The sequence below is a fragment of the Homo sapiens genome, chromosome 13, assembly GCF_000001405.40.
Source record: "Homo sapiens chromosome 13, GRCh38.p14 Primary Assembly".
Lineage (NCBI taxonomy): Eukaryota > Metazoa > Chordata > Mammalia > Primates > Hominidae > Homo > Homo sapiens.
This window is the reverse complement of record NC_000013.11, coordinates 32,980,722-32,993,244: the sequence shown is the minus strand read 5'-3', so window position 1 is coordinate 32,993,244 and position 12,523 is coordinate 32,980,722.

The window sequence follows — 12,523 nt, the reverse complement described above, 5'->3', positions numbered from 1 at the left end:
AGAGGGTCGTGTTGAGGATTACAGGCCAGAATGTCTACCTGCCCTCGCTGAGGGTCATAGTGACCACACAGGCTGATCATTCATTCTGCCTGGTTATAAGGAAATCAAATCAGAATTGAGGGAACAAAGTGAATTGATTAAAGCATTGAGTGCATACTTTTAAAAAACTAAGTAATTTATTTTAAGATACACTTAATAATTACTAAACACACTCGAAAATTTACCAAAAAAAGTATAAAAACTTAGTTAATTGCCTGGGTTTTGACGATTAAAGTTTTCTATAAACATCTCCACTTAGATTTGCCATCACCGTTTCACAAGTTGATTCCACACGGCCCTCAGAGTCTTTTAATTAATTTTGCCTACTTTATATTAAAACTGATTATTTGTAAAATTTTCATATTTGATTCAACTTTTTTGCAGATGTTTGTTACTATATAATTACCACCTCTGTGTTTGACAACTTTGTTTTGAAAGAAACTACCCAACATGCTCATTTTCCAACATGACATTTCCATATACCTATATTTTCCCCACTATGTCAAATCCAGATGACTCACACTTATTTGCCAGATTTTTTAGCCTAGATTTTCTAGTCTCTGATATGGATCCCACTTGGAATCTAATTATTAAATTAATAAGTTTTTGAAAGTGGCTTTAAATACTTAAACGAACATAGCAGAAATATAATGTATATGAAAAAAGAAACTAATTAGTCTTAATAAATATTTGCCAAATTGGATGAGTGTAAGGTGTGCCCAGCATGAAAAACTGTATGATGATTTAAAATTATAAAGTTTGCTACTGACTGTTAACACAACTATGTGAGCAGTTCTAAATGCAGCCAAAGCTGTCACCTGGGCTGGAGTGCAGTGGTGTGGAGTAGCTGGGACCGCAGGCACATGCCACAACACCTGGCTAATTATTATTATTATTTTTTTTTTTTAGAGACTGGGTCTTGCTTAGTTGCCCAAGCTGGAGTGCAGCAGCCCAGTCCTAGTTCACTATAACCTCAAATTCCTGGGCTCAAGACATTCCCCTGCCTCAGCCTCCCAGGTAGCTGGAACTACAGGTGTATGCCACCACACCAGGCTAATTTTTTCATTTTATTTTTGTTCTTATTTTTGAGGAAATGGGGTCTCCCTGTGTTACAACTTTTCGTTCTCTTTCTGTAAAACCCATCATTCATTCAGCAAATATTTATGAAATACCTGTTATGTGTCTGGCAACTGAGAAAGGTGCTACATGGAGACAAATAAAGTGAAGCCCAAAGTGTAAGCTCTACCAGTGACGCAAAGGACGACCCCATCTTCTTCTTCAAAACCCAATTTAGCCTCCCAAGGGCAGCTAGGCAGCCTTCTCCACTGCTGATAGTTTCACCTGTATGAGCCTCTCTGAAGTAACAGAATGCTGCCTGGCCACATGGATGGATGTGCTTGATTCCTCTCTCCCATCCCCATTTTAACATGTCCCCAGCTGAACTCCTGAGAGTTCCTTCACAACCCATTTTATCCCCAACCCAGACAGTAGCAGCTCCTTCCTTCCAGTAGCTCAGGCCAAAAGTCTCCCAGTCGTCCCTGCCTTTTTACTTCTCAGACCACATATGCAATCACTCATGAAATCTTTTTGACTCTACATTCAAAAAATATCCAGAATCCAAGCACTTATCACCACCTCCCCTGCCAATACCCTGGTCCAAGCCACCATGCCCTCTCTCCTGGTCACTGCAGTGCTGTCCCTCCTCACTGGTCTTCCCGCTCTGCGCTTGCCCTCAGGCAATCAGGCAATCTGTTCCTAACCTTCTCGGGGGAGTAGGAGCAGCACTCCCAACCTAAAATTGCAACCTCTCACTCCAACACTTTCTGTTGCTCTTTCCTGCCTTATTTTTATCCGTTGCACTTATCAATACCTACATGCCACAAATCAACTTATCTTGTTTAGTGATGGGCTTCCCCACGTGAATGTATATTCCATGAAGACAGGAATTTTTCTGTTTCCTTTCCTACCCCTTGTAGGGTGCCTGACACATGGTAGCTACTGAATAAATAGACCAGTGTGTGTTATGAGGATCTTGTGGGCTTGGTGGACTGCTTTGCTTCCTGGCTCCATCACCTAACTATCTGTGTAACCCTAGAAAGTTTCTCAACCTCTCTGAGCCTCACCTGCAAAATGGAGATAGTAATAGCAACCTTACAGGGCTGAAGGGGAAATTTAACAGGATATTCTATTTGGGGAGATTTAAAGATGATGAACGATAAAATACAGTAATGGATCGGAATTTGTTCTCCAAAAGATAGGTTGAAGTCCTAACCCTTAGTACCTCAGAATGTGATCATATTTGGAAATAGGATCATTGCAGTTGTAATTTGTTAAGATGAGGTCATACTGGAGTAGTTAGGCCCTTCATCCAATATGACTGCTGTCCTTATGAGGAGAGAAGAAGAGACAGACACACAGGGAAAAAGACCATGTGATGATGGAAGCAGAGATTGGAGCCATGCAGCTGCAAGTCAAGGACCACCAATGATTGCCAAGAGCCATCAGATGCCAGGCAAAGGCAACAAAGGATTCCACCTGGAACCTCAGAGGGAGCAGGCCCTGCTGACACCTTGATTTCAGAATTCCAGCATCTATAACTGTGAGAGCATAAACTTTTGTTGTTTAAGCCACCCAGTTTGTGGTACTTTGTTATGGCGGCCCTGGGAACTAATACAGATGCCAGTCATGATTTTACTCCAAAACCAGTTTATCCTCTGGCTTCCCTAGGTTCATTATTGTGACCTCTATCCCCACAGTTATCCAAGCTGAAAACACCTTCAAAGTATCATACGACTTTCCTGATGACATTAGTTGAATTGATAAATAGTGACTTCCACAAACTTTACTGAGTGCTTAAAATGAGTTTTTCCCTGATCTGTGGCGATGCCCGGGCCAAGCCCTTACCCTCAAGGGGCTGGGGGTGCTGGGGGTCCTGGGTGGAGGAAGAGACAGCAAACAATAACCAAATGTCATGTGTGCCAACCTAGGGGTACAAATGAAAATTTTGGGCAACATGATTCCAAAGGTTCTTTCCAGCAGTGATTATTTCATGACTCACTCCTGCCTGGAGTACTCATTAGCATGCACTTTCCTGGGAAATATTTTATGCTACTATTTAGTACAACTTAACTCTCGTATTATTTAATTTTTTTATAAGTTCTAATCTTGTATCCCAAACTAGATTTGTAGTTTCTTAAGGCAAAATCTGTTGTTAAATGTTTTGCTCTTCCTACACCACTGTCTAAGGAATGGGAACTCAGTCACTGTGTGTTCATTCATTATGAATGTCAATTACTTTCAAATAAAGAGGTACGCAGGTATCCTCTCCTCTTCCTGTTTTATCTTCCCTATATACTAAATTTTGGTGATGCAAAGTCATTTATGTCCAGAGAGGCTACTGACAGGATGGACTCCCTTTTTCTGATAATTTCTTTATAAACTTAAGCCTTTTAAAATAAGGTACTAAATAGTATGGGAGAATACTACTATTAATTGAAAAAGAGAAGGTTACAAAGTAGTATACACAAAATATATCCAAATTTTAATAGAGAACATGTGAGAGATGAAGAAATATGTAACTGGAACATTGCAGATGTTACCAGTCTACAGTTATGCTGTCACACTGGTATTTCTATGCCATAGTTTCTGTTCTGGCTTCCGACCTGCAGATGCAGAATCTGCAACTCCCCTTTAAGAGTCCTTCCAAAAGGGACCTTCACGTGTGCTCACATCTCTTGGGTGTAGTCACTGCACGGCTTCCAGCATGTTCTCCTGCTCCTGCTTCCCAGACCTTGCCCACTGCTGGTGAAGGCATGTGAAGGACTGGTAATGCCCAGCAGGGGAGATGCCAATGTCTGCCCTCAGTGGGCTCCACCCCTGAAACCACAGAACTTTTCTCCTTGTGGTATGATTATAAGTTATTTTAATTTTTTCTTTGTTCTTTTGATATTTTCCAAATTTTCTAGATTATTCGTTTTATCATCTGAAAAAAAAGGAAGTAAAAACATCTGCAACAAGTTTGCAAGATAGCCAAGCAGCTGCTATTGTGAACAGCTGCAAAAGAAGTCAGAGAGCAGAATGAAAAAATCACAGGGTGAAGGTGGTGGTCATTGCATTGCAAAGCTGATACACATAAAATGCTGCCGGATATCTCAGGTAAGTTCTAGGAAGTACCAGAATCTGCCAGGGCCGCATCATTGTTTTAAATTAAGAGTGGAGAACACAAAGTGAAACTGACTCTTGATTGGCATGTTGCCTGACGAGATTCAAGATTCACGAAGTCATTTATTTCAGGGTAAAAAAAAAAAATGTAAGCCATTTATGTGTACCAATAGCTTTGGAATTAACCAAAACCTCATAGGCAAAGCCATAGGAATCATCACAGGCAGCCTAATGAAAACATCTGCTGAATAGAGGAAGTTGACCAGAAACTTAATAAGACATCAGACCGTGTTACAAAGAGAACACAGAGTATCAGTGTGGAAAAACTGATAGTGTTGCGTGCATTAATGAGCAAATTATTCTCACTGCCTTTGGTGGGAACACTCTGTCAACAGCAGTGGCTGAAGCATCAAAGGCAAGAGGAGGCAAGTCGAATTTTAGAATAATCATAGTTCATGAAAAAAGTGGCAAAACTAATTTTAATATAACTTTTAAATTAAAGATAATGTGTTCAAATAAGGTGAGTATGAGTCACATTTGTTTTATGTCTCCCTAGAAAATAGGCACCAAGAAATCAAGGCTGTGATGTATATATTAAATAATAATAATTCAGCAAGGTGAGTTTGCTGAATTCAAAAGTGAGTTTGCTTTAAAAGGTATAGAATGACAGTTTCCAAAGATGCATGTACATAAAATTATGTGCAGTAGAGAGAGGAATTTCGTGTAGTACAAGAAAGAACATAATTATACCTGATAAGACAATAGAGATATTTACTTTAAACCTGATAAGAAATAAAACATTTTTTACAGTATATACTCTGTCACATTCACTGTTTGGGCAATTTTTATGGAAAGCCACTAACTGAAATAAAAATATAAAGAAATTTAAAACTCATTTTAATGAAAGTATTTTTCTACAAACACCCAAAAAGGAATAAAAACTATGAAGATGATTACTCTGTATGTACAAAAATTCTAGCAGCTTAGATTCCAAGTGCATTTCCTTAAATTGTGTTATATTGCAAAACAAAAAAGGAATGAGGTAAGAAAGAACAGATGTGTCCAAGAGAAGAAATAATTTTAAGAAACTGCAAGAACATATTGATCTGCATTTTAAAGTAGCCATCTAAGGAAAACAGATAATTTCATATTTTAATTTTCTTTTTTGCTCATCAAATCTGATATAAATACCATCTCCTGCACACAGTAATCTCACATCTATAAAATATTCATGTAGCAGCATTAAGAGGGAATCTCCAAGAATTTAATGTGAGTGAGAATCTAGAACACTTTAAACCTAAAGTGCTTTCCCATGTAGGAAGCACTTGAGATAGTCACCTAATTCATAGCTCATTCTTAATCTGGGCCAGCATGCCCCAGAAGAGGCACCTTGCTGAGCTCAGCACAACTACACTGCTACCTCCAGCTCCAGCCATCCTGGGAGTCCTTCTCTCCTCAGCCTCCTCGATTTTTAGTTACAGGACCTAGGGCAATTTTAGGTGATTCAGACTTGATTTGAGGTGAAGACTCCTTTTTCTCAAAAGGAGCCTTTTCTATTCATTCTTGAACCACTGAAATACACCTGAAGGATGGGCAGAGCACAGACCCCAGCCCCTTCTCATGCCAGAGGTGCCCGGAAGGATTCTAGGAGCAAAGCTGGAACGACCTTGACCCAGGGCAATGAGCTAGACTTAGGAGTCAGTTATTAATTGACTTGAAGTTTAGAGGATAGTTTGTAGGATAAGAACACATTTTCCCTGACTTCCCTAATTCTCTAATGTTCTAAAGTTCTGTACATCCAGCCAGAGCCCCCAGTTTCTGTCTCTAACCCATCCACCTTGCTTGCAGCCCTTTTGTGCATATCTGACCAGTCACCTCTATCCCCCACCATGGCCGTTCCACGTCTTCACCCAAGGCTGCCTAGCAGACAACTAATTTTTTTTTCAGGGACCTTGTCTATATAAACAATGTGATTTTCATGTATTATAAAATGCATGGGCTCATGTGAGGTATAGTGATTTATCAGTGAAGACTTAGAACAATGGGTAGAGAAAAGGCATTTATTTATTTGTACTCGTTTCTTGTCCAATCAGTACTTGTGAAGAGTCATGATCCTGGGTCTTATGTGAGTGAGTCACCTCAAATTAGCATCATTCCGGTGGCCCAATCCCACATGATCCAAGAAAAAAAGATCATGGCAGACAGCAAAGGGTATTCACTTGAGAGGCTGCTCTCCTGTAGTACCCCAGGATAGCCCCATGGGCGCGAGCTCCGAGCTCCTTGGTCATCTGGCGAATCCCTTGTGTGGGGAATGGGGTTGAGTTTTGGAGAGCGCCCGAAAGGGGAGAACCATGGGACCCACAAGAGTCCAATCAGGGCTCACAAGCCCCACCCAAAGAGCACTGCAGCCTCTCCCAGGCACCAGAAGGGTGGCCTTAGACATTTTTGAGGAAGTTGCTTCAAAAAGCATTGAAGTGTTGCCAGGTCCGAGCAAGCACTTGGCGTGTTCTGGTCTAAGACAGTACCACCCTCCTCATTCCCTTTAAGACTGTCTGACCCATTTCTGATTCTCTCTCTCAATAATAATCTAGACCACGGCAGTCCAATAGGAATAGAAAGTGAACCACGTATAAAACTTTAAATTTACTAGCAGCTGAATTTTTAAAATGTAAAAAGAAACAGGTGAAATTACTTCTTATAATATGCTCTATTTCACCCAAGGTATAGTCAATATTCATTGTCCACTGATTCTGTATTTGCAAATTCATCTACTCATAAAAATGTGTTTGTAACCCCAAAATCAATACCTGCAGCATTTTTGTGTCCATTTGCCGACATGCAGAGTGGTGAAAAGCTTGAGTCGCCCAACATGCACGCTCCCAGCTGAGGTCCAGCAAGGCGGTGCGCTGCCTCTTGTTTCAACTCTCGTGCTGTAAGCAAGCGTCCTTTTTAGGGTCTAGGTAGTGCCATGTTTTCTACATTTTTGTGCTCCTTTTTAGTCTCCGAGCATACTGCTGAAGTACTGTCCGGGATTCCTAAGCTGTGAAGGCTCCTAAGCACAAGAAGGCTGTGATGTACCTTATGGAGAAAATACGTGTGTTGGAGAAGCTTCATTCAGGCATGAGTTATAGTACTGTTGACTGTCAGTTCAGTGTTAATAAATCAACAAGATAGATTAAATAAGTTGTCTTTAAACAGAAACATGAAAAACAAAGTTACATGTTGATCAGTTGATGAAAATGTTGTGACAGAGGCTTGCTGTAGGAACCTAGCCTTGTATTTCCTCTTGGAGTGATGGGTAAGTATTCACTAATTCAGTGTTCACAGTGACTTGATAGAACATAATTCACTCCCTGGAAAAATGAAAATAGATTGCATCATCACTTCAACAAGTAATTAATACATACAATTATTAATGAGACATATTACACTTTTTTGTACAAGTCTTTAAAACATGATGTGCATTTTGCACCTAGAGTGCATCTCCTGCATACTGGCCACATTTAAACTGCTCAGTAGTCACCTGTGGTGAGCAGCTACCATACTGGGCAGTAAATATCTAGCCTAAGACTCCGCAAAGGCGTCAATGCCACCAGGCAGAGCTCCTCGCCCACTGCCAGCCACACAGCTGTCCCTCCACAGGGCTCTAGACCTCTTCCTTGCCCTCTCTCCAGGGAAGCTGTCCCCAGCACTGTCTTTCCCTCTTGTATCTGTTTTGTCTCTCCACTGGCTGTTCATTCTCAGTGTATAAATGTACTTGTCTTCCAGTTTTAAAAAACAAAGAAAGAAACGAGGGACTTTAGGTGTTGTTCCAGCTTTCATGTACACAGCACTTCTGAGCATCATTCCTCTGACGTGCCATTTGTGTATCCATCCATCATCTTCCCTGGATAGCCTCAGGGCAGTGGCCATTTTTCTATTTACATTTCATTCAATCAGTAAATATTTACTATATCAAACATCTTCTACGCACCTGGCACTGTGACAGGCCCAAGGATACTGTGATGAGCAAACCCAGAAGTGCCTGTGCCCTGGCGAAACCTACCGACCAATGGATGAGTCAGACATTCAAATAAACCCTCAAGTAAATGAGTAAGTTCAAGCTGTGCTAAGTACTAGGAAGGAGCACATGGGGTCTGAGAACTTGGAACAAGGACGTCTGATCTAGTTTGGGGGATCGGACTTCCCCAAAACTAGAAAGTTGAGCTGAATCAGAGTTAATCCACCAGTCTAAGATCAACTCACCAAAGTGAAACCTTCAAGAATTAAGAGAGTTTATTTCATCACTGAATCTCCAGCACCTACATCAGTGCCTGGCATGTAGTAGGTCCTCAATAAATATTTATGAGCAAATGGATTAACTATGCAAAAAAAAGAGAGAGAAAAAAAGACAGAAGAGAGGGAAAGAGAGCATCCTGATGATGCTAGGAAAATAGCATGTGCAAAGATCCTGTGGCAGGAGGCAGCATGATACATACAAGAGACTCACAGGCCAGTGGGGGAGGGCAAAAAGAGTAAGAGAGAGGGTGGAATGAGATGAGGCTAGGAAGATGGGGAGGAGCATACCATGAATGCATCACAGGCCACCTTAAAGATCTTTTTCTTCAACTTAAGAGACATTGATTTTTAAGGGGGGAAGAGGAACAAGGAATGGCATGAACAGAGTTGACTTCAGTGTAGAGAATGAGGAGGAGAGCTGGGCAGACCAGAGAGTCCTGTCAAGAAATAGATGGCCAGGCGCCGTGGCTCACACCTGTTATTCCAGCACTTTGGGAGGCAGGTGAATTGCTTGAGGTCAGAAGTTCAAGAAGTTCAATACCAGCCTGGCCATCATGGTGAAACTCCATCTCTACTAAAGATACAAAAGAATCAGCCAGCCATGGTGGCACACACCTGTAATCCCAGCTACTCGGGAGGCTGAGGCATGAGGATCGCTTGAGCCTGGGAAGTGGAGGTTGCAGTGAGCTGAGATCATGCCACTGCACTCCTGTCTGGGTGACAGAGCAAGACTGTCTCAAAGAAAAAAAGAAAAGAAAAGAAAGAAAGAAGAGATAATGACAGTAGCTCCAAGTGGGATGGTGGCTAAAGATGGGAGAAAGTGATAAATTCGAGAAATATATAAAAAATAAAACCAACAAGAGTTTGGGAAGCGACTAGCTAAGAGAAGTGGCAGGGAGAGACGCCAAAGATGACCACTTAGTGTCTGGCTTGTGCCAAGCGGATGGATGGTGGGGCATTGTCAGAGGAAAAAATGGAAAGAAGAACAATAGTTTTAGGGGATGAATCATGAGTTTGGTTTTGAAGGTGTTGGGTTTGTGATACCTTTGAAACAGTCAAGCAGTAATAACTGTGCTATGAGTTTGGAATTCAAAGAAGTCCCAGGTAAAGATATGAATTTGGAAGCTATGGTGTAAAATCGTCATTAAGGCCCAGTATCTGGCACATGGTAGGTGTTTAATAAATATTTGTTTAATGAGTGATTTGGGCGGGGGAGGGCCTAAGAATCCGTTTTATTACAACGCGTGGAGTTCATAGCAACTAGGGACTCATAAACAGAAATATCTAAGTATACCTCTAAAGTTCTATTTTCCATAGAAGGTTAACTGTACAAACAATTTAAATAACATTTAATCTTCTCCAAATCCATAACATTATTTTATGTTACAGCTTATTTTTAATTATATTTCTTGGTTTTTAATGGTTTCTGGCATCACTTGAGATAAAAGTTACATTAAAGATGGAATCTCATTTATTACATATCACTTTATCTTATCATCTAAGCACTTAGAAAATACTTTTCTCCAGCAATTAATTTTCGTTTTTCTCTCTGTTCTTGTGGCACATGCAATTTTCTATCTAAAGTTATAAAGTCTCATTATCTTGTGTTCATAAATCAAATTAGGCTCATATACCACCGGAAAGAACATGTTCAAATAAAACGTCTGGAAAGAGTAGAGCCTTAAGAAGTGTTTATTAAATAGAATTGGGTTGAGACCCCACAGGTGTTTTTCCCTTTTGTTTTACTTACTTGTTTATTCCTTTTGATCCTTGCAACCAGTCCCTTTCCACTTCCCTCATCAAACATTCTAGTGCGCTTTCAAAAATTCTGGGCATGAATTCCTCTGAAATGTGCATTTGTCGTTTTGTGTGGATTTATTTTTAATTCATATAAATGGAAATATGATACGTATCTCAAACTGCTTCTTACCGTTTCTGAGGCAGCACTGTAATTTTAAGGTCGATCCATGTTGCTATATGGAAATTGAATCTATTGCTTCTAACCATGGCATGGTTTTCCATGGCTGCTCACCCCCTCACCTTCTACCCATCCCGATGGTGGACATTGGATTGCATCCACAACCTGTTGCCACTGACAGCCTGCAACCAACACCCTTGCACATGTTCCCTTATGAGCCTATAGTGAGAATATCCCAAGGAGCACCCTAGGGTGGAATGGCTCCACTTAATTGGACTGAGTGGTGTCACTACCTCCCAGATGTCTGTCCCAGTCTATTCTCCCACCAGCAGGTAAAAGGGTGCCAAACCTCACACCCTTTCCAACAGGAGCCATCAGCCAGCTCTCTGACTATGGCCAAATTAATGGGTACAAAGGGATATTTCATCATTGAATTGCATTTCTCTTATTAGTAATGCTTTTGAACATCTCTTCATATGTTTACTCACACAGAATGTTTTCTGTAAACTGTCTCTCCTTTACATTGACCATTTTTCTGGTGGGGTATCTTGTTGTTGTTGATATGCAGCAGCAAGCTCCTTGGTATATTCCAGATATTAATCTCTTGTCAGGTTTAGACATTACTAATATCTTACCCCTTTGTGTCACCTGTGATCTATGGGACTACGAATAGTTTATCTTATAATTTTATCCGGAATTTTTTTTTTTTTTTTTTTGAGACAGGGTCTCACTCTGTCTCCCAGGCTGGAGTGCAGTGGCGCGATCTCGGCTCACTGCAAGCTCCGCCTCCCCAGTTCACGCCATTCTCCTGCCTCAGCCTCCTGAGTAGCTGGGACTACAGGCGCCCACCACCACGCCAGGCTAAGTTTTGTATTTTTAGTAGAGAGGGGTTTCCCCGTGTTAGCCAGGATGGTCTCGAACTCCTGACCTCGTGATCCGCCCGCCTCAGCCTCCCAAAGTGCTGGGATTACAGGCATAAGCCACTGTGCCCGGCCTCTGGAATTATTAAATCTAATAAGATAAACATAAACTTTGCCAACAGTAAAACTTGTATTTTCCGTGATGCTTGTTCCCTCTCTTTAAACTAGTTAACATAATTGGTGCACATAGAACTGTCTGACATAGATTAAGCAGTCAATGCATGTCATTGTTATCACTGCTGTATGTAATTTGAGTGTATGTTTCTCATATCTCATAGGAAATTATCTCAAATGACCTAAATAGCATAGCTGCCTTATGATATACCTAAATGATTCAAATTAAGGTCACTGTGCTCTCTTTCTCAGTAAAGATGTTTCAGAGTTACTTAATGATATTATTAGAAGACAAGAAAAAAATAAGAGAAACATGGACCACAGTTCACTACACTGACTCGTGTATGATCTTTAAGGACCTGGGGGTTATTTATAGATGACACAGAAATTACAGGATCTTTAAACTTTTAGAAAGACTGGATGCCGTATGGAAGAATTTCAGTTTCTCTGGAATTATTTTCATTGCTTTCCTCTCTTTCATTGTCACACTTCTGTGTCACTTTATGGTGGCCTTCTATTTCCTTACTCTGGATGGTGAGAGTCACTTTCATGTTAAGGAAGCTCACAGGTGATGTGATCCTTTCCTCCCTTGGAATCCCCAGGTAAATACTGTCACAATTCAATTTCTGGAAACACAGCCAGTCATGGAGGCCTGAGGTACCCAGAGGAAGCTCTTCCCGCAGGCGTTGCTAGTGCTGCCCCGTACCTCCCGGTCAGGACTCCGAGGTCGTAGCATGCCCTGCTCTGCACCTTCTCTATCATGACAGAAACACTTGCAATCATAGGGCAGTCGGGGAAGGTGTCGAACAGAGACAATGACAGACATGCATGTGTGCTTCTGTGAACTGCAGCACGGTTATCTCACCCGGGGCCTTCTGACCATCCCATTGCAGGCTCAAACGGATGTGGGCACAGAACAAAGGGCTTTTTAAAAAATTTTTTTTCAAAGACTTATTTTAATTAATTAAATGTAAATAAGCAAATGAATCGGTTGTGATGTCAACGTCAGGAAATTATTTTGTACCTAGATTTTCTACCTAGATTTCCTATTTCTATAATTCTCGAGATATTGTAATTCAGCAGGAGAGTGGTA